This window comes from Homo sapiens, chromosome 7, assembly GCF_000001405.40.
Source record: "Homo sapiens chromosome 7, GRCh38.p14 Primary Assembly".
NCBI classification, from domain to species: domain Eukaryota; kingdom Metazoa; phylum Chordata; class Mammalia; order Primates; family Hominidae; genus Homo; species Homo sapiens.
Window position 1 is genome coordinate 32,445,889 of NC_000007.14, and position 23,505 is coordinate 32,469,393.

At 43.0% G+C, this 23,505-nt stretch overlaps 1 pseudogene across 1 annotated transcript, besides 2 other annotated features; it reads right to left on the reverse strand.

Moving 5' to 3' along the window:
- Positions 1,245-1,756: an enhancer, noted in NCBI's record as "NANOG hESC enhancer chr7:32486745-32487256 (GRCh37/hg19 assembly coordinates)". NCBI's record gives its function as "activates a minimal SCP1, AML or CMV promoter by ChIP-STARR-seq in naive H9 embryonic stem cells {active_cell/tissue: H9 hESC(naive)}" and the evidence as "EXISTENCE:reporter gene assay evidence [ECO:0000049][PMID:30033119]".
- On the reverse strand, positions 11,009-12,606 carry LOC100130673 (phosphoribosyl pyrophosphate synthetase 2 pseudogene; annotated as a pseudogene). The gene has a single exon (NR_038454.1). The product of NR_038454.1 is annotated as a phosphoribosyl pyrophosphate synthetase 2 pseudogene (transcript).
- Positions 18,325-18,917: an enhancer, noted in NCBI's record as "H3K27ac-H3K4me1 hESC enhancer chr7:32503825-32504417 (GRCh37/hg19 assembly coordinates)". NCBI's record gives its function as "activates a minimal SCP1, AML or CMV promoter by ChIP-STARR-seq in naive H9 embryonic stem cells {active_cell/tissue: H9 hESC(naive)}" and the evidence as "EXISTENCE:reporter gene assay evidence [ECO:0000049][PMID:30033119]".

Here is a 23,505-nt window from a genome sequence, read left to right on the forward strand (position 1 = left end):
GAGTGAGAAGGGTGGGAGGAGGAAGAGGATCAGGAAAAATAACTATCAGGTACTATGCTAAATACCTGGGTGATGAAATAATCTGTACACCAAACCCCCATGATGTGAGTTTGCCTGTATTAACAAACCTGTACATGTACCCCTGAACCTAAAATAAAAGTTTAAGAAAGAAAAAAAATGCTGTAGCCACGACTGCAAAGGAAACAATCAACAAAGTGTAAAACGACCCACAGAATGGGGAAAAATATTAAAATATTTGCAAACTATCCATCTGACAGAGGATTAATAACCAGAATATATAAGGAGTTCAAACAACTCTATAGGAAGAACAATCTAATGATCTAATTAAAAATGGGCAAAAGATCTGAAAAGACGTTTCTCAAAAGAAGACACATGAATGTTACTGGAGGTTAATGTGTGGGTCATGGCATGGAAGATGATGTTGGTTGGAAGGAAGCGGTCAGATCACCCCACAGGTAGAATATTCATCAGAGGTGACCTGAGGTGATTGTCTGTGGTGCATTGCATCTATGCCCATGAGCTATGGGGCAGGGGGGGTGGCCTGTCCAAGTCGAAAGGATCCCCACCAAAGTGCAACACACCCAACTCCAACTGGAGTGTGACCTACCTCAGAGGGTTCCTCTAGGCTAGATGCTGCTGTCCATCCCCACAGGTAGAGACAGTTCCTGGAAGATGGAGGGAGGGAGCATGGAGACAGGTAAAGAACACTGAGAGAGAGCTCTGTAAGGACCAGACCCCAGCGTGCTGCCTAGCAACAAAAGCAAACCCTTCATGACCCCAGAACACTACCTCAATTCTGCAGCTGCCTCGGGCTGCAACTTGGAAACTCCAACTCTACCCACGAGGTGAGGACTAAAGCGTCTAACTTCATCTAGCCTATGACCAAAGGAGAGGGAGCACTTGGGTTCTATATCAGCTGCACATAACAGAAAACCTGACTAACAGTGGCTTAACCACAAATGTATTTATTCATCTCACCTGACAAAATGTCTAGAGATAGGTAGCTCCAAGGTTGTGTAACCTCCCTGCAATTGTATTGGCCTTCATCTCAGGGTCACAAAATGGCTGCCAAAGCTCCAGCCATGACTTCCTCACACCATAGTAATCCAAGTAGGAAAGAAGAGGACTGGTGGGAAAGGACCTTCTGGTAATACAAACCTCTCTTATTACGGAAGAAAATTGGAAGTCACTCAGCAAACATCCCCCCTTGTATCTCACGGGCCAGAACCAGGTCATATGCCCAGTTCCCTAAACAAATCACTGGCAAAGAGAAATAGGATACTGTAATTACCTTAATCCTGATTTCTTACCTGGGGCTGGGAGTTGCCTCCCAAACAAAATCGGGCTTCTTTTAACAAGGTTAGGCAAAGCAACAGTGCCCCAACCTATTCGTTACCCTTCCCCCCTTCCCATGAACTTGGCCCTTGATAATCAAATCCATTTGGCCTGCTCACAGAAGAAAGGAGGAGCACTCTTCTTAATGAGAGGGGAAAGACTCTGTGGGAGGGCCAGTTTCTGCTCATTATGCTGAAATTCCTGCCACAAACATTCCCCCATGGAATCCCAATGATGTGGATCTCCAGAGGCAGTCTCTGCTATATCCCACACCCAAGGACTCAGGATTTCTTTAATATATCTCAAGACAGACAAATTCCACAATAAATTTACTAGTCATGGATATTTTACAGATCTCACAGAAACAGAAACAGAGTGAAGAGCCTCTGCTGAGCCCTTCACTCCAATAATTCTGCCTTGAACAACCCTTCCAGAGCTATCTCTCTGATAGCTCACCACCACTCCTCTGCCCTTCCTTCACATATCCTCAGCAAAAATTGCCCCGAGTTATCTGCCATCACTTTCAGCTTACTTTATCCACTCAACCAAACAAAAACCCAACAGCAGTTCATAGATCTGTAACCAAATATTCTTCATCAAGCAAAGCAACTAAAATTTTCATTCAATATTATATATATTGGTAATTAGGATAAGAAGGAGAGCAAAGGAATAAAAGGTGAAGATTAAAGTGGTAATTCAGTAAGAAATATTGAAAAGGGAGGCTGGGCATGGTGGTTCATGCCTGTAATCCCAGCAGTTTGGGAGACCAAGGCGGGCAGATCACCTGAGGTCAGGAGTTCAAGACCAGCCTGGCCAACATGGTGAAAACCGATCTCTACTAAAAATACAAATTAGCCAGGCATGGTGGCAGGCACCTGTAATTCCAGCTACTCAGGAGGCTGAGGTGAGAGAATCGCCTGAACCTGGGAGGCGGAAGTTGCAGTGAGCCGAGATTGTGTCAATGCACACTGTAGCCTGGGTGACAGAACAAGACTCCATCTCAAAAAAAGAAAAAGAAAAAGAAAAGAAAAAAAAGAAAGGGAGCATTGATTGTTGTATCTTTAGACAGGTATTCATTTTTTAGGTCACCCAAGGGTAGCTAACTTTTACAATTAAAAGTCCTTTTCCTGTGATATAAAAAATATACCCAAAGCAAGAACAAGACAAAGTCACTTCAGGTTGTCATGTTCTATTTTAATTAGCTCTAATTTCATGTTCAAACTTTTCTATGCAGGCATATGTGTGTATTAAATATCATTATTAATTAGCCAAATGGATCCAATCCCCACACCCCTCAAAAGCTTGCTATGGTGACGCCAACTTTTCAGGCACCTGTCTGACATAGACAGCCAATTATTGATGTCCTCTAGAATCTGCTGTGCCTGAGAGTTTGCCATGGTATCTTTCCCTTCAGTAAGACCCAGGCAGAACAGGCAGAGAATAAAGTAAATGAAGCACTCAAAGACCCATTAGCCTTAGCCTGCTGAGAGCTGAGCTTAGCCTGCTGAAAGACGGTGCACTTGCTACCTAAGATGGTTTGGATATTTGTCCTCTTCAAATCTTATATTGAAATTTGGTCCCAGTTTTGGAGATGGGGCCAACTGGGAGGTGTTTGGGTCATGGAGGTTGATCTCTCATGAATGGCTTGGTGCCATCCCCATGGTAATGAGTGAGTTCTCGCTCTATTAGTTTACGTAATAGCTGGTTGTTTAGAAGAGCATGGTGAGCAAGGTGTGGTGACTCACGCCTGCAATCCCAGAACTTTGGGAAGCCAAGGTAGACAGATCACTTGAGGCCAGGAGTTTGAGACCATCCTGGCCAACATAGCAAAAACTCATCTTGACTAAAAATATAAAAAAAATTAGCTGGGGGTGGTGGTGCACACCTGTAAACCCAGCTACTCAGGAGGCTGAGACACAAGAAACACTTGAACCAGGGAAGTGGAGGTTGCAGTGAACTGAGATCACGCTACTGCACTCGAGCCTGAGCAAAAGAGCTAGACTGTCAAGAACAAGAAGCAGAAGCAGAAGCAGAAGCAAGAAGAAGAAGAAGAAGAAGAAGAAGAAGAAGAAGAAGAAGAAGAAGAGGAAGAGGAAGAGGAAGAGGAAGAGGAAGAAGAGGAAGAAGGAGAAGGGGAACGGGAAGGGGGAGAAGGGGAACGGGAAGGGGAAGAAGGGGAACATGGTGCCTCCCCTCTGTGTATGTGATGCCCCCTCCCATCCCCCTTCCCCCATGATTGGAAACTTCCTGAAGCCCTCACCAGACGCATATGCTGTTGCCAGTTCCCTTGTACAACCTGCAGAACCATGAGCTGAATAAACCTCTTTATTTATAAATTACCCAGTCTTATAGCAATAAAAATAGACTAAGACACTACCTTACTGCTGATAGGAACTATGGCTGAACAAAACCACAGGAAGCATTGATTGAGATTTTTTTCAAACAGTAAATTTCCCTCAGATGTACTCTTCCTGGTCACCCTCTAGGCAAGCTACTCTCATCCTGTGTTTTAGTTTCCTATTGTTACATGAAACACACACACACACACACACACAGAAACGTAGTGGTTTAAAACTACAATGATTTATCACTTCTCCTAAGTCTATGGGTTGACTGGGAAGTTCTGCTCCATGTGGTGTTGGCTGAGGTCATTCCCACAGCTTATATTCAGCAGGGAGCTTAGCAAGGGATCCCCATCTCCTTCACATGGTCTTCCATGAGTGTCTCCAACTCCAGATCTTCCCCCATGTGGTTTTACTCTGCAACAGGATGGCCTAGACTTCAGTACAGCATGGTAGCTGGGTTCCAAAAGAGATTGCTCTAGGGGACAAGCCCCAGTGTACATGACCCAGCCCCTGCTTGTATCATGCCTGCTAATGTCCCATTGACACAAAAAGCCACATGCTGATGATGTAAGAGGAGGAGACTACACAGTGAGTGGCCCATTGGGCCCATTGTCGCTGTCTAAAACCTCAAAGTGCGCATTTTTTTCACTTACCTCTCTAGGGAGCATAATTCTCTGCAGGGAGGACAGCTGTGAGATCCTGTGACCTAAAGACTCTCTGAATCAATAGAAACAAGTATAAAATTGTGAAAGTAAGTAAAAAATTGAGTTAAAGAGGATTTTAGAGTATGTGTAGTTAAGAAGATCTGTTACGGCCGGGCGCAGTGGCTCACGCCTGTAAACCTAGCACTTTGGGAGGCCGAGGTGGGTGGATCACGAGGTCAGGAGATCGAGACTATCCTGGCTAACATGGTGAAACCCCGTCTCTACTAAAAATACAAAAAATTAGCCAGGCATGGTGGCGGGTGCCTGTAGTCCCAGCTACTCAGGAGGCTGAGGCAGGAGAATGGCGTGAACCCGGGAGGCGAGCTTCCAGTAAGCCAAGATGGCGCCACGGCACTCCAGCCTGGGCTACAGAGTGAGACTCTGTCTCAAAAAAAAAAAAAAAAAAAAAAAAAAAGAAGAAGAAGATCTGTTACTTGATGCTACTAGAAAAAAAAAAAGTATTAATAAGGACAAGTGAAAATATAAACCCGAAGAATCTGATCATAAGGTTTAAATTATTGAGTCTGGAAGGTAGTGGGTATACCTAATTTAAATTTGCCCTCAGAAATGCCTCTCTTATTTGCCTTTCCTAAAGTTAGTAAGTTCATTCACTTCTTTATTCCTTCAGTAAGCGTTTTCGAAGCACCAGGCATCACTCTACATTCTAAGGTTCAAATTGTGTCCTATTCCTTCTTTCATTTTCTCCAAAGTGGACTCCAGCAATGGCCCAATAGCTGGTCTCTCTACCCCAACCACACGTACTCCAAAAGTGTTTGTCCAAAAACACAAATCTAATTCCATTTTGTTTCAGCTTTAAAATCCTCTGACACTGTATAAAAGCTAAACCCTCTAAAGTGGCTTTTAAGGCCCTTCAGAGCCTAATTGTCATCTACTTTCTTTTAAAGGATAATTCTCTACAAAAAGGTAAAATCATGGCTCTCATGCAAACATAAAATGAACATGGGTCAAAGATTATATGTTGCTCATTAAAATGAGGAACTAGTAACATGTTAAAGCCCAGTTCAAAGGTGTGTCCACAGACAGACACATATATAGGCAATGAAGAATACTAAAATGAATTTGTTAATAGATGCAAACCTGAATGCTTCCATGGTAGGGTTTGGGGGTGAAGCAGGCAGGGAATCAATGTCACCTACCTGACAAAATTCATTTCATTTCCATAAAAAAGATTAATTTGCATTACTATCAGTTTTCTACAACTTACAAAGTGGTAAAAGAGTTCAAACATTGAAAGTTGCAGACCACTGTAGAACAAGATATTATGGAAAAGTGCACTAGACAATGCTCAGCATTCCATAAGGCACCCGGTCATCTCGGTAATCTTTTTTTCTCTCTCTCTTTTTTTTTTTCTTTTTGGCACTTTCCGAGTCTTTCACACTTCCCAACCTCACCTTCAACAGTTCCTCCGGCCTTCTACCCTATATGGTAGTCCCACTGCACTCTTCACAGTTGCCTAGGAAGGCCTCAAACATTTCTGGCCACTTCTTGCACCCTCTTCATGAAGTGAACTCTTTTTTTTTTTTTTTTTTTTGAGAGGGAGTCTCGCACTGTTGCCCAGGCTGGAGTGCAGTGGCATGATATGGGCTCACTGCAAGCTCCGCCTCCCGGGTTCACGCTGTTTTCCTGCCTCAGCCTCCCAAGTAGCTGGGAGTACAGGTGCCCGCCACCACGCCTGGCTAATTTTTTGTATTTTTAGTAGAGACAGGGTTTCACCGTGTTAGCCAGGATGGTCTCGATCTCCTGACCTTGTGATGCGCCTGCCTCGGCCTCCCAAAGTGCTGGGATTACAGGCGTGAGCCACCGCGCCCGGCCGAAGTGGACTCTTTATTAGAAGACCTCCTACTCATTATTCTTTCAATTTACTCAGCAAATACTTCCTTCTATACCAATGATGGACCAAGCAGTGAGGATTCAAAAGTGAAGAAGAAGACTAGGTCCCAGCTTAGACCAGGACTCGTTCTTTGGGCGGTGCTATTTACTTTGAATCATCCAGACTTTGGGAAATGCACTGATGTGCAACCACTGTGTAACTGTGAGTGGTGATGGGGGCTTCTCTTCATAGTTCATGGACATTTTTGCTATTGATCATTCTGAGTGAAAGAGGAACCCTCAAAGGAGACTGAGGAGGAAAACTCAGAGAGAGAGGAGGACCAGAAGAGAGCAGGACAAGGCAACATAGGAGGAGCAAGTGGTTGTCCACAGAGCAACCACCATGGAGAGGTCCAGTAAGAACATAAACTATGCACATTTATTTTGGAAACCCAATTCTGCAGAGTGTTTCAATGGGAAGATGGAGGCAGAAGTCATATTACTCCAGGCTATCAAATAAAATGTAGAGCTATTTCTTTGGAAGGAGTGGGGATTCTATTATTGGAGCTAGAAAGAGAAGGATCAGAAGAGAAAGCATAGGTACAACCACTGAGTCATGCCCCAAAGAAAAGTCACCTATATACATATTATGATATAGAAAAAGCACTAGATTTGGAGTTAAAATTTGCATTTAAATCCTGGCTATGAGATGTAAGGCTTGTCATGCAGTCTATTTGGACCTTAGTTTCCTCTTCTGTAAAGAGGAGACAGTAATGCCTCAAAATATCGTTCAATGACATAATCTTTGTGAAAGAACATAGTCCAAAGCTTAGCACATACTATGTGCCCAATATGTGTAATTTTAAGCCTCAGAGAGATAGCAACTGCTACCTGAGTAATCATGTAGATAATCTTGACAAACTCTCACTGCATTCATTAGTGATTGAGGTTTGGATTTTGTTTTCTATGTTTTTGTCTTATGTCCTGCCTGGGTGGAGTTCCAGAAGTGGAGGGTAAAAGAGCACACTGCCCAAAAGCTTTGAGCACCTTGTTAAGAAGAAGGTGACCTTCCTTTGCTTTGATTTGCTTTACTGAAGAGCAGAATGCAGAAAAAGGACGAGACTTGTGGCTGGACACAGTGGATTCCAAAAGAGACCCTAGAAGCCCAGTCTCCTTAGAATGTTTCTTGCCTTTTCTATAATATTAATTAAACCCCAGAAAGGCACTGTGATGCAGACAAACGGGAAACATGAAACAGCACTTTTCATTGTGGAGGAGGTAAAGCAAGAAAAAACTGAATTCAGCAGCTTAAACTGGAATTGGTACAGACCCTAGGCCTCCCACGGCCGACCTTCCTACAACGGGCCAATCCCAAGTCCGCCATTCCCACCCCCAGAGGAGGGTTAACTACTTGGAACAGATGACATTAGGTTACCTTTCTGTCCTAAAGAGGGGGAAACTACTTCACTTTCTTTCCTCTAGACAGCATCCTAATTTGTCCCCACTTAGCCACATATCTCAGGACGAGAGCTTTTGAAATTAATGATGCTTTTCTGAGAGTAATTGCTTCTGTTCTAATCACCTGCTATTTCTTGCTACCCACGGGGCTCAACGTTAGGATTGCCTAAAGCAATCAGCAAATTGCCCAAAATGCACTGCTCTCAAGCTTCCAAAGTACATAATAAGTGATGATGAGTCACTCTAAGCCAGGTAGTCACCTCACATCCCTTATAAAGTGAACTTACATGTCAGTATGCTCCCTAGGAGGCAAATCAGAATGTGCAGGGTGGGGGTGATAAGGGCTCACATTTTTTTAAAGCCTTTTCAACTTTTAAAAAACTTAAGATGAAATTCACATAGCACACAACCATTTTAAAATTTACAATTCAGTGGTATTTAGCATACTTACAATGCTATACAACCAATGGCTTTCGCGAATTCCAAAACTTTTTATCACCCCATAAAAACATCCTGTGCCCATTAAGTAGTCACTCCACCTTCTTCCTTAGTCCCATCCCCTGGTAACCTCTAACCTGTGTTCTATCTCTACAACTTTGTCTGTTCTGGATATTCCCTATAACAGGATTCACAGTATATGACCTTTTGTGTCTGGCTTCTTTCACAGTATAATGATTTCAAGGTTCATCTGTGTTATAGGAGAAATCAGTACTTTACTCATTCCTTTTTATGGCTGAATAATATTCCATTGTATGGATGTACGACAAGTTGTTGATTTCATCTGTTGACAGACATATGGATTGTTTCCATCTCTTGGCTATGCTGAATAATGCTGCTATAAACATTCATGTACAAGTTTCTACATTGATCCCAATGTTTTTGGTATGCCTCTTCCCTCTTTCAGCTCAAGGAAAACACTTGACTAGAACAACTTCCAAGAAATCCCCAGTGAGAAGGAATAAGATATTCTTAAGAAGAAAGGGATCTTCTTTTTACTGTTTTTAGTTTGCTGTATGATTTTATTTAAAATATTTTAGCACAGTTTTGGAGGAACACTGTATTCTATACACACACCAAATATACTATTCCTGAATATTGTTGACATATAATATGGTATAATATAAATACTTGTAAGTTGATTGTTGTAATTTTAGTCTGGGCTCAATGACTTTCACATGTTCATATTTCTCTGACTCCCTTATTTTACTAGATAGAGCCTGAGCCTCTCTGCATTCAGCAGAATTAGACATGATCAGAAAATGTGGTTGGTATCACAGCTTCCAGACAATGAGTAGCAAAAGATGGGCAAACACTGGGATCAGCTGCTTACAGAGGATCTTTATTAACTGGGCTGGATTGCAACCCCCAAATCTCTTTAAAATTTGGCCCCTGAGTATGGCCAAATCCAGCCTATACACATTGTGTATAAAATACTTTAAAATACAAAAGTCCTGTTAAGTAATGATAAAATAATACATATCAGGACAAGGAAAGACAATGCAGATTTTTAAGTCATGTGTTCTGTATGAGGATCATTATTTTAAAACTGGTTCAGTATATTCTTAGATTCTAAATATCTCAAAGCAGAATATTTATTTCTAAATGAACTACGTTTAATTCTGTGTTTAGTCTGTATTTATATGTCAAGGTATCTAAGCAGGTCAAAAACTGTATTTCCATTTTTCTAAGAAATTCAAGGTCAAACACGGTGGTTCACGCCTGTCATCCCAGCACTCTGAAAGGCCGAGGCAGGTAGATCACTTGAGGTCAGGAGGTCGGGACCAGCCTGGTCAACATAGTGAAACCTCATCTCTACAAAAAAATACAAAAATTAGCCAGGCGTGGTGGCATGTGCCTATAGTCCCAGCTATTCAGGAGGCTGAGGCAGGAGGATGGCTTGAACCCAGGAGGCAGAGGTTGCAGTGAGCCAAAATCATGTGTGCCCCTTCACTTCAACCTGGGTGACAGAGCTAGATCCTGACTCAAAAACAAACAAACAAACAAAACAAAAAACAAAAAACAAAACACTATCCCTTTCTTTGTTTCTTTCTGCATGTGTTTGTTTATTCATTCATATTAAATATATTTTTGCCTTTAGTATTCTGAAGTAACAAGTCTCTCAAGCAAATGATTTTTTTAACTACAGATTTTATTTGAAAAATATAGATAGGATGGCTGGGCACCATGGCTTACACTTGTAATCACAGCACTTTGGGAGGCCAAGCCAGGCGGATCACTTGAGGTCAGTAATTCAAGACCAGCCTGGCGAACATGGCGAAACCCCATCTCTACTAAAAATACAAAAATTAGCCAGGCATCATTGCACATGCCTGTAATCCCTGCTACTTGGGAGGCTGAGGCAGGAGAATTGCTTGAACCTAGGAGACAGAGGTCGCAGTGAGCCGAGATCGCACCACTGCACTCCAGCCTGGGTGACAGAGCCAGACCCTGTCTCAAAAGAAAAGAAAAGAAAAGAAATGGATCAGTGGTCATTTTTAGCTAAATAAAGCTTTGTTCAAAAAAGTCAGTATTCTTATATTATATGATTTTTAAACATTCACTCAAAAGAAATGTTCTAAGTCCATATAGGACTTAACCCCAGTGTTCATAATATTACTATTACATATAAACTCCTACTCAAGGTGCTGTAATAGGGTGGTATCTTTGGCAACATATGTATGTAGGCTATGAATTTTTACAAGGGGTTTCTATTACAGAAGGAAATTCTATACAATTCTGTAATATGATTGTGACCTCAAAGTACCATAAGAACAAAGGTTAAAGTTACCTATCACAAGTTAAAGTCACATATATATTTCTCATTCAAGACAAGTTCAATTAAAAACTAAACAAATATTACTTTATCCCTACCTGTTGTCTCCTGAAACCATAGAGTTCCAAGGTTTAAAACAGAGATCTGATGTTTTAACATTTGTCATTCTATATTTTATTGAGATCTAAAGTCAACATTTTTGTTTAAATTCCAAATATGATGTTTGAAATCGTGATATTCTGGAGTGATATGGTTTGGCTGTGTCCCCACCCAAATCTCATCTTGAATTGTAACTTCCACAATTCCCACATGTCATGGGAGGAACCCAGTGGGAGGTGATTGAATTATGGGGGCAAGTCTCTCCTGTACTGTTCTCAGGATAGTGAATGAGTCTCACGAGATCTGATCATTTTAAAAGGAGAGTTTCCCTGCACAAGCTCTCTTCTCTTGTCTGCCACCATGTGAGACATGGCTTTCATGTTCCGCCATGATTGTTAGGCCTCCCCAGCCACATGGAACTATAAGTTCAATAAATCTCTATCTTTTGTAAATTACCCAGTGTCGGGTATGTCTTTATTAGCAGCATGAAAACAGACCAATACATGGAGCTATAGAGGAACATGGCTAAACAAGTAAGAGCAAAATCATGTTGTCTTGTTGGGGACTGGTGTTTGTAAAATAACAGCCTCAGAGCTGAAGTGGTATAAACTTTAGTGGTTCCAGCAGACAGTAGCTTGTCTGCAGAGTCATGTGTTGTGCCACATGCATTGGGTATGTCATCCACAAGGACAGCCACCCAGTCTTTAATATCACCAACCAGAAACATCCTATCCACCCCAACACTTCTCCTGCAAGGCAAGCCATGTTAGGTCTGTCCATGAATGGTGGAGTCTCTTTGGCTCCTCCTGCTTTGGGTGAAACAATGCTGCAGTTCCTCCAGTCTGCAATATTCTCTCAGGTCCATCACAGAACTGCAGGCTCCACATGTAAGTCATTCACAGCAGTACTGAAGAATCCCTGTATTTGAGCAGTGTGCAGATCCATAGTACTGACATGCTCCAACCCAGCTACTGAAAACACATTGGCTACAAGTTTTGCAGAAACTGCAGGATGACTCTTGTCCTTTTGATCTTGTTGGGCATATGGAGAACATGAGAGTACTGCCTTCATGCCAGAGGACCATGTGGCTTTGCACACATTGGTCATAGCAAGAGATGTCAAGGTGTCATTAATTTTCACAATGACATAGGCAGCTTGGTCTCTCATTCTTTCACCACTCACTATGCTAACCTCCTGATTGCTGAACTTCTTAGTGACCACCTTGCCCAACTCCAACCCCCACCTTTTCACCACTTTCTGGGCAAGTCCCAGTGAGCTGCTGCCAAGCAGCACCATATTGGACATAGCTGGAGCTTGGTGGAGCCAGGGGATGCTCAAGGTGGTGATGTCAGGAGCAAGGAAAGAGCTGCCACTGCCACTGCCATTGGAAGAGAGGAGGAGGGGTTGCAGAGGTGGGTTGGGGCCTGGCTGCGGGCAGGGAGCACAGCTCTGGAAAAGATCTTCTTATTTTTGGATGCTACATGCTGTTTCACCTCTTTCTCTTTCCATGTGAGCAAAGAAAAGGACTACAACATTAAAAGAAAGTAATTCATTAATATTTAGCATAGACTGTAAAATCACTGCCATTAGAATTTTTTGAGGTTTCCCAAACCATTGTAACTTCCCCACATGTTATTTTGGTCACTCCTTCCCTTATGATTGGCAGGAAAAGCCTGACCTGTGTGCTTGTGTGGCCCAGGCACTAAGAGCCTCAGGTTCACAGGGCATGCCCTCGTGCTAGTGCTGCTAGAGAGGGGGTAGACCATGTTACACAGGAAGCATCACGGTGTTGTGCAATGGGACTGGGTTGGGGGCGGGCAAGTTCTGTTCCCTACCAAGACTCCTATCAGAAAGGGTCTCTTCTTGCCACAGAGACTACAGCAACAAGGCAGAGAAAGTTTATTAAGGTGGGAAACAGGCATCAGACAAAGCAGCACATTTGAGGGACTCCTTCTTAGGCAAACAGATAAAAGCACTCCCAGAAAAGCAAAAACAGAATGACCTCAACATTTTGCAACACATATTGGAAGAAACCAGCCTCCGCAGAAATCAACTGATGGAAGCTGGAGTAAACATGGACTTTTTACAAATTGCAAAAGTAATGTCAGAGACCCTGAAACAAGGTGATATAGCTTAGATGTTTGTCCCCTCTAAATCTCATGTTGGAAGTGTTTGGATCATGGAGATGGATCCCTTATTAATGGCTTAGTGCCAACCCCTTTGTGGTGAGTGAGTTCTTGCTCTGGTGGTTCACACAAGATGTGGCTGTTTAAAAGAGTGTGGCACCTCCCACCTTGCTCTCTTCTCTCACCATGTGATGTGCTGGCTCCCTTTTTGCCTTCTACCGTGACTGTAAGCTTCCTGAGGCCCTCACCAGAAGCAGATGCTGGCACTATGCTTCATGTACAGCCTGCAGAACCATGAACCAAAATAAAACCTCTTTTCTTTAAAAATTACCCAGTCTCCTGCATTTCTTTATAGGAACACAAAAATGGCCTAACACCCGCCCCTCCCCCCACAACCACCCCAGGCAAACATCGACTGGGGTTAATCCCAGTAGAATGAGAATGACATAGGACAAATGGAACAGAGGAAACAGATTCTGGATATGAAAGACTTGATATGAACAGAGATTATTCCTGTGATCCATTGGCTGAGAGTTTTGTGTTGGTCAGCATGCTTTCAGCAGCAAAACGAAACAGAACAAAAACACCCAATCCAAATTAGCTAAATTATAAGAAAATGCATTGACCCACTAAACTGGAAGACCAGACAGAATGGTTCTAACTCCATTTCTTTGACCTTCTCCATGTCTTTGTTTTATCCTCAGACTGGTAAAGAGATAGCTACAGTAGTTTCCAGCCTCTCAACATATACAACATAGCCCTGAATAAGAAAAGAACATATCCTCCTGTGGGTCTCTCTTAAGAGTGAATAAACTTTTCCCAGAATTCCTTGGCAGACTTCCTCAAATTGAGTCACATGGCCATTTCTGACAATCACTGCAAAGGAGATAGGATAATTATCATTGCCTTCAACAATCCAGGCCCTTCCCTGGAGCTACAGAAAACTGCCCACACAGCATAGCTATTCTCCAATGGTGGAAGAGTATGCTGGATGTTAAAGAGATACCATAAAGTCCACCATGGTTTCCCAACAATGTCTTAGGAAGAACCAGTGCTGGAGCCTCCACAATATATCCCTAAGAGTTTAAAATTTATCTTTGTATCACTGAGGACTTTTGGGTTGCTAGTGACAGAAACACAATTCAAATCAGCTTAAAGAAAACATGGAACTGATTGGTTCTTAGCATCTAAGAAAGGGTCAACTCTTCTTAGCCAACTCAACGGAATATCCAAAGATGCAGCTGGGCCATAGTAGAAATAGAACCGTGAGTGCTCAGGGCTCTCCCTTGTCACTCATGTTTGCTCCTCTTTGCATATCAACAATACTCTTTCCCACTCAGACTGATTTTTGTGACATAGCAAGAAACTTGGCTGCTGACAGCTCCTGAGATTTATGTCTCACAGCTTGAGAGACTGAATTCAAGGTCTCTCTGGTTCCAAGTCCAAAAATCTTTGGAAAGAGCCTTATTGGCTGAGCTTGATGTAGATGCCAATCCCTGAACAAATTAACTGGATCCAGGGATTGAGAGTCACTCTGTGCTAACATGCCAACTTCTGTTCTCATTCCATGGACAAAGGAAAAAGCAGTTCCTAGAAAAAGGACCCTAAAGGACAATCCACTATAATAGTTACACTCAGTTGCATAAGAAATGGCAGCCTGGGTGCAGTGGCTCATGCCTGTAATCCCAACACTTTGGGAGGCTGAGGTGGGTGGATCACTTGAGGCCAGGAGTTCGAGATCAGCCTGGCCAACATGGTGAAACCCTGTCTCTGCTAAAAATACAAAAATTAGCTGGGTGTGGTGGCACATGCCTGTAGTCTCAGCTACTCGGGAGGCTGAGGCAGGAGAATCCCTTGAACCTGGGAGGCGGAGGTTGCAGTGAGCCAAGATTGCATCACTGCACTCCAGCCTGGGCAACAGAGCGAGACTCCATCCCAAGAAAAGAAAAAAAAGAAAAAGAAAGAAAGAAATTGCAGACAATCAGGCCAGGCACAGTGGCTCACACCTGTAATCCCATCACTTTGGGAGGCCAGGGTGGGTGGATCACTTGAGGTCAGGAGCTCGAGACCAGCCTGGCCAACATGGTGAAACCCCATTTCTACTGGAAATAAAAAATTAGCCGGGTATGGTGGTGCATGCCTGTAGTCCCAGCTACTCGGGAGGCTGAGGCAGGAGAATCGCTTGAACCCAGGAGGCAGAGGTTGCAGTGAGCCAAGATTGTGCCACTGCACACCAGCCTGGGCAGCAGCACAAGACTCTGTCTCAAAAAAAAAAAGAAAAAAGAAAAGAAAAGAAAAAAAAGAAATTGAAGAGAGTCAGGCCGGGCGCAGTGGCTCACACCTGTAATCCCATCACTTTGGGAGGCCAAGGCGAGTGGATCACTTGAGGTCAGGAGTTCGAGACCAGACTGGACAACATGGCAAAGCCCCGTCTCTATCAAAAATACAAAAATTAGCTGGGTGTGGTGGTGGAGGCCTGTAATGCCAACTACTCAGGAGGCTGAGGCACAAGAATCACTTGAACCCGGGAGGCGGAGGTTGCAGTGAGCTGAGATTGCACTACTGCACTCCAGTCTGCGCAACAGAACAAGACTCCGTCTAAAAAAAAAAAGAAAAAGAAAAAAGACATTGCAGAGAGTCCTCACTCCAAGAGGAGAGATCCTTCAGTTGCAAAAATATTTTATAAAAAGAACCCCACAAAGTATTATCATAAATAATAAGTGGACCCTGACAATTGCAGTCAAGACTGGTAAAGCACAAGGCCTCTTCTTGTGTTTCTTTCTTTCAAGGTAAGGGATGCTTTTGGCTTGTTTCTGGAACAAGGAAAAGGAGAGAATTAAGGAGAGTGTGTTATTTTCCATAATCCATGAGGCCCTCCCCTCCCACAAAACCGATAGCAGCTGTGAAGTGAAGCAGAAGTTTGTGAGAAAGAAAGAAGCTGTCTTTCTCATGAAGCTGGCCCAGGTTGGATAAGCAGGGCCTACATTCCTAAAGGCTACTGGGCTACAGGTTTCTTTCTTGGTTGGGGTTCCCGCAAAAGCAGATCCTGAGAAAGATTTGTGTACAAGTACTTTTCGAGGTCAAAGTACAAGTACTTTTCCCAGGAAGCAAGTGAGGGGGCAGAGAAGTATGTTAAACTCTGCAACTGGGTGTGTAAATAACTGCATGCTGCTATGGTCCACTGTGGCTCAATCCCACTGGAGACCCTCTGAGAAACTCTGCAGAGCACAGCTCAGAATTGTCCCCCACAATGGAGCAAAAAGCTGGGATTTTTATCCATCAACTCCTGTCTCCATTGGTTAAGAGTTGTTCCTGGAGACATTAATTTCCCAGCACTTTCAGGCAGAACATGCATATGAGGCCAGATAAAACCTTTAAACAGAGAGAATCATGTGCTTGAGGTAGGAAGTCATTGGCATGATATGGAAACTTTCCATCAAGTTACACATGACCAACAGGATGGGCCAAGGGAATATTGCAGGGACATTGACAGCATCTACTACAATTCCCAGAACCCATTCCACAGGCAACCCTCCCCAACTTCTGTACCTTCAACCACACTCTCCCCTCTCAGAATGCCCTGGTGTCCATTTAAACTAGATTTCATCTGGATTCAAACAGCAGCAGGGGAGGAGTGTCTCCCCACTGCCTGCACTGGGACAATCCCTACTGGTGGCTCTGGAAGGAATGAGACCCAATATGTACCGAGTACCTACTACAAGCTGGTCCTATACATATCTTGTCTCATGGTAATGCTCAAAACAGCCCTTTGATGTATATATTATCATTGAGAGAAGGAGAGAGAGAGAGAGAATGAGTGTGTATGTGTATGGAATCTGAGACCTGGAGAGGGAGGTAACTTGCCTTGTCTCAAATGGATAGAAAATGACACAGCCAAGACCCAAACCTAGTGGGGTTAACTCCAAAGCCTCATGCTCTTTCTTCCTGATACAGAAATAGAAGCCAATGCCTCTTTGCCACCCAGGAAGAATATTTCTCTTAGATCAACAGACCAAAGTTTAGAGAACTCCTGGGAACTTCAGAAAGTCCCAGTCCTCCCAGAGCCTCAGGTGACACAGACCTGAATGTTTGCCAGGCTATCTTTCACTAACACTAAAATAGCCACCTGCACACTGCCTGCATGCAAACCACTCCTTGATACACATGCACCTAACACAAAGCCCCTTGCATGTTAGGCCAGGGGCTATTTTTGTTGCTTTGAGTTTATCTGAGGAAGGATTGATATGGAACAAGCCACAGGGCAGAAACCTATGCATGTTACCTCTCTCCAGGGGGACACTTCCCAGGGCTGGGGATTAAAGGAATTCAGTGTCTATTAAGTGGAGAGACTTTCCTACAGAAAGAGCAAGTTTTATAAAGTCCATATGACATATGAGGCAGTGTTTTCCAGCCTGGGGATTGTGTTGCACAAAAGAACTGGATAATTTTAACAAGAGCACCTGCAAATGTTTTCCCCAGTGAGCCGCTCTCTGGAGAAAACTCCTCCTTCCCTCTCCACAGCAACATGAGCTGGGATCATTCTTTCATCTCCTGGAAGATATTGGATCCCACATGAAATCCTTTGCCCCACCCAAGAAGCTCCTAGCAACAACTGTCTGGCTTCATGTTACATCACTGGGCAGTAACCCCATTCATTCATAGGCATTTAATGGGCACCTACACTCCTCCAGGCCCAATGAAAAGCATCCAGGATACTTGGAGAGCAAAGTATAGTCCTGCCCTCCAAGAATCTCAGTTGATGGAGGATTCTTATTTATTGTGTGTGCTAAATTTGACCACTGTGAAGGTGCCTGGCACTGTGTTTGACACATACAGGTGCACAGTAAATGCAGATTTCCTTTCGTTCCCTTAATAGTCTTCAAAATACTTTTATGGGAATTATCTTGTTGGTTTCTCAGAGCCTCTGCAAATCCAATTTGGAATGAGACAGAATAAAAGCAAATAACTAAGGACAGGAAATCCTGTGAATAGAGAAAGGCAGGCATTATAAACCTCACACTTAGTTGAGGAAGTTGCATCCAGTTAGGCCGTGGTGCAGCACGGAGGTTAAGGGCATGTGCTGCAGAGCCTGGGTTGGAATTCCGACTCTGTTCCTTGGCTATAAATTCCCACTTTTCCTTGTTGTATTCAGAGTTGAGCCCAGTTTCTCACCCCTACTGTAAAACCCCACTTTGGTAATTCCCATACCTGTCTCTATAGTCCCCTTAAATAAAGTCTGCATTACTGTTCTTTAACAAAGGTTGCAGATAGATTTTTCTTTAAACATTATACATAATATATATATATAAAATATATACACACATATATATATGTGTATACATATAAACCTCACATTTAGTTGAGGAAGTTGCATCCAGTTAGGCCATGGTGCAGAATAGTGGTTAATATATATTATACATATGAATATACATTTATATAATATATTATCAATATATAATAAATACAACTTGTTATTTATATATACATATGTGTGTGTGTATATATATATATATAATATGTATATATTTAGTTAAAAAAAACTATCTGTGACCTTTGTTAAAGAAAAATAAACCAGACACAGTGGCTCATGCCTGTAATCCCAGCACTTTGGGAGGCTGAGGTGGGTGGATTACTTGAGCTCAGGAGTTCAAGATCAGCCTAGGCAACACAGTAAAGCCCCATCTCTACCAAAAATGCAAAAAATTAGCCAGGCATGGTGGCAGGCACCTGTGGTCCCAGCTATATGGGAGGCTGAGTAGGAAGGATCACTTGAGCCCAGGAGGCAGACAGAGGTTGCAGTAACCCATGATCACACCACTGGACTCCAGCCTGGGTGACAGAGAGAGACCTTGTCTCAAAAAAAAAAAAGAATAAAGCAGACTTTATTCGAGGGAACTATATATATATATACACGCCCACATACACACATATAAATATATACATACACGAGAGGAGGAGCCAAGATGGCCGAATAGGAACAGCTCCGGTCTACAGCTCCCAGCCTGAGCGACGCAGAAGACGGGTGATTTCTGCATTTCCATCTGAGGTACCGGGTTCATCTCACTAGGGAGTGCCAGACAGTGGGCGCAGGTCAGTGGGTGCGCGCACCGTGCGCGAGCCGAAGCAGGGCGAGGCATTGCCTCACTCGGGAAGCGCAAGGGGTCAGGGAGTTCCCTTTCCTAATCAAAGAAAGGGCTGACGGACGGCACCTGGAAAATCGGGAAAATCGGGTCACTCCCACCAGAATACTGCGCTTTTCCGACGGGCTTAAAAAACGGCGCACCACGAGATTATATCCCCCACCTGGCTCGGAGGGTCCTACCCCACGGAGTCTCGATGATTGCTAGCACAGCAGTCTGAGATCAAACTGCAAGGCAGCAGCGAGGCTGGGGGAGGGGCGCCCGCCATTGCCCAGGCTTGCTTAGGTAAACAAAGCAGCCGGGAAGCTCGAACTGGGTGGAGCCCACCACAGCTCAAGGAGGCCTGCCTGCCTCTGTAGGCTCCACCTCTGGGGGCAGGGCACAGACAAACAAAAAGACAGCAGTAACCTCTGCAGACTTAAATGTCCCTGTCTGACAGCTTTGAAGAGAGCAGTGGTTCTCCCAGTACGCAGCTGGAGATCTGAGAAGGGGCAGACTGCCTCCTCAAGTGGGTCCCTGACCTCTGACCCCCGAGCAGCCTAACTGGGATGCACCCTCCAGCAGGGGCACACTGACACCTCACACTGCAGGGTACTCCAACAGACCTGCAGCTGAGGGTCCTGTCTGTTAGAAGGAAAGCTAACAAACAGAAAGGACATCCACACCAAAAACCCATCTGTACATCACCATCATCAAAGACCAAAAGTAGGTAAAACCACAAAGATGGGGAAAAAACAGAGCAGAAAAACTGGAAACTCTAAAAAGCAGAGTGCCTCTCCTCCTCCAAAGGAACACAGTTCCTCACCAGCAACTGAACAAACCTGGACGGAGAATGACTTTGACGAGTTGAGAGAAGAAGGCTTCAGATGATCAAACTACTCCGAGCTACAGGAGGAAACTCAAACCAATGGCAAAGAAGTTAAAAACTGTGAAAAAAAATTAGATGAATGGATAACTAGAATAACCAATGCAGAGAAGTCCTTAAAGGAGCTGATGGAGCTGAAAGCCAAGGCTCAAGAACTATGTGAAGAATGCAGAAGCCTCAGGAGCCAATGCAATCAACTGGAAGAAAGGGTATCAGCAATGGAAGATGAAATGAATGAAATGAAGCGAGAAGGGAAGTTTAGAGAAAAAAGAATAAAAAGAAACGAGCAAAGCCTCCAAGAAATATGGGACTATGTGAAAAGACCAAATCTACGTCTGATTGGTGTACCTGAAAGTGATGGGGAGAATGGAACCAAGTTGGAAAACACTCTGCAGGATATTATCCAGGAGAATTTCCCCAATCTAGCAAGGCAGGCCAACGTTCAGATTCAGGAAATACAGAGAACGCCACAAAGATACTCCTCGAGAAGAGCAACTCCAAGACACATAATTGTCAGATTCACCAAAGTTGAAATGAAGGAAAAAATGTTAAGGGCAGCCAGAGAGAAAGGTCGGGTTACCCTCAAAGGGAAGCTCATCAGACTAACAGCGGATCTCTCAGCAGAAACCCTACAAGCCAGAAGAGAGTGGGGGCCAATATTCAACATTCTTAAAGAAAAGAATTTTCAACCCAGAATTTCATATCCAGCCAAAATAAGCTTCATAAGTGAAGGAGAAATAAAATACTTTACAGACAAGCAAATGCTGAGAGATTTTGTCACCACCAGGCCTGCCCTAAAAGAGCTCCTGAAGGAAGCGCTAAACATGGAAAGGAACAACCAGTACCAGCTGCTGCAAAATCATGCCAAAATGTAAAGACCATCGAGACTAGGAAGAAACTGCATCAACTAACGAGCAAAATAACAGCTAACATCATAATGACAGGATCAAATTCACACATAACACTATTAACTTTAAATGTAAATGGACTAAATGCTCCAATTAAAAGACACAGACTGGCAAATTGGATAAAGAGTCAAGACCCATCAGTGTGCTGTATTCAGGAAACCCATCTCATGTGCAGAGACACACATAGGCTCAAAATAAAAGGATGGAGGAAGATCTACCAAGCCAATGGAAAACAAAAAAAGGCAGAGGTTGCAATCCTAGTCTCTGATAAAACAGACTTTAAACCAACAAAGATCAAAAGAGACAAAGAAGGCCATTACATAATGGTAAAGGGATCAATTCAACACGAAGAGCTAACTATCCTAAATATATATGCACCCAATACAGGAGCACCCAGATTCATAAAGCAAGTCCTGAGTGACCTACAAAGAGACTTAGACTCCCACACATTAATAGTGGGAGACTTTAACACCCCACTGTCAACATTAGACAGATCAATGAGACAGAAAGTCAACAAGGATACCCAGGAATTGAACTCAGCTCTGCACCAAGCAGACCTAATAGACATCTACAGAACTCTCCACCCCAAATCAACAGAATATACATTTTTTTTCAGCACCACACCACACCTATTCCAAAATTGACCACATACTTGGAAGTAAAGCTCTCCTCAGCAAATGTAAAAGAACAGAAATTATAACAAACTATCTCTCAGACCACAGTGCAATCAAACTAGAACTCAGGATTAAGAATCTCACTCAAAACTGCTCAACTACATGGAAACTGAACAACCTGCTCCTGAATGACTACTGGGTACATAACGAAATGAAGGCAGAAATAAAGATGTTCTTTGAAACCAACGAGAACAAAGACACAACATACCAGAATCTCTGGGACACATTCAAAGCAGTGTGTAGAGGGAAATTTATAGCACTACATGCCCACAAGAGAAAGCAGGAAAGATCCAAAATTGACACCCTAATATCACAATTAAAAGAACTAGAGAAGCAAGAGCAAACACATTCAAAAGCTAGCAGAAGGCAAGAAATAACTAAAATCAGAGCAGGACTGAAGGAAATAGAGACACAAAAAACCCTTCAAAAAATTAATGAATCTAGGAGCTGGTTTTTTGAAAGGATCAACAAAATTGATAGACCGCTAGCAAGACTAATAAAGAAAGAAAGAGAGAAGAATCAAATAGACGCAATAAAAAATGATAAAGGGGATATCACCACCAATCCCACAAAAATACAAACTACCATCAGAGAATACTACAAACACCTCTACGCAAATAAACTAGAAAATCTAGAAGAAATGGATAAATTCCTTGACACATACACTCTCCCAAGACTAAACCAGGAAGAAGTTGAATCTCTGAATAGACCAATAACAGGAGCTGAAATTGTGGCAATAATCAATAGCTTACCAACCAAAAAGAGTCCAGGACCAGATGGATTCACAGCCGAATTCTACCAGAGGCACAAGGAGGAACTGGTACCATTTCTTCTGAAACTATTCCAATCAATAGAAAAAGAGGGAATCCTCCCTGACTCATTTTATGAGGCCAGCATCATTCTGATACCAAAGCCGGGCAGAGACACAACCAAAAAAGAGAATTTTAGACCAATATCCTTGATGAACATCGATGCAAAAATCCTCAATAAAATACTGGCAAACCAAATCCAGCAGCACATCAAAAAGCTTATCCGCCATGATCAAGTGGGCTTCATCCCTGGGATGCAAGGCTGGTTCAATATACGCAAATCAATAAATGTAATCCAGCATATAAACAGAGCCAAAGACAAAAACCGCATGGTTATCTCAATAGATGCAGAAAAGGCCTTTGACAAAATTCAACAACCCTTCATGCTAAAAACTCTCAATAAATTAGGTATTGATGGGACATATTTCAAAATAATAAGAGCTATCTATGACAAACCCACAGCCAATATCATACTGAATGGGCAACAACTGGAAGCATTCCCTTTGAAAACTGGCATAAGACAAGGATGCCCTCTCTCACCACTCCTATTCAACATAGTGTTGGAAGTTCTAGCCAGGGCAATCAGGCAGGAGAAGGAAATAAAGGGTATTCAATTAGGAAAAGAGGAAGTCAAATTGTCCCTGTTTGCAGATGACATGATTGTATATCTAGAAAACCCCATTATCTCAGCCCAAAATCTCCTTAAGCTGATAAGCAACTTCAGCAAAGTCTCAGGATACAAAATCAATGTGCAAAAATCACAAGCATTCCTATACACCAACAGACAAACAGAGAGCCAAAGCATGAGTGAACTCCCATTCACAATTGCTTCAAAGAGAATAAAATACCTAGGAATCCAACTTACAAGGGATGTGAAGGACCTCTTCAAGGAGAACTACAAACCACTGCTCAAGGAAATAAAAGAGGATACAAACAAATGGAAGAACATTCCATGCTTATGGGTAGGAAGAATCAATATCGTGAAAATGGTCATACTGCCCAAGGTAATTTACAGATTCAATGCCATCCCCGTCAAGCTACCAATGACTTTCTTCACAGAATTGGAAAAAACTACTTTAAAGTTCATATGGAACCAAAAAAGAGCCCGCATCACCAAGTCAATCCTAAGCCAAAAGAACAAAGCTGGAGGCATCACGCTACCTGACTTCAAACTATACTACAAGGCTACAGTAACCAAAACAGCATGGTACTGGTACCAAAACAGAGATATAGATCAATGGAACAGAACAGAGCCCTCAGAAATAACGCCGCATATCTACAAGTATCTGATCTTTGACAAACCTGAGAAAAACAAGCAATGGGGAAAGGATTCCCTATTTAATAAATGGTGCTGGGAAAACTGGCTAGCCATATGTAGAAAGCTGAAACTGGATCCCTTCCTTACACCTTGTACAAAA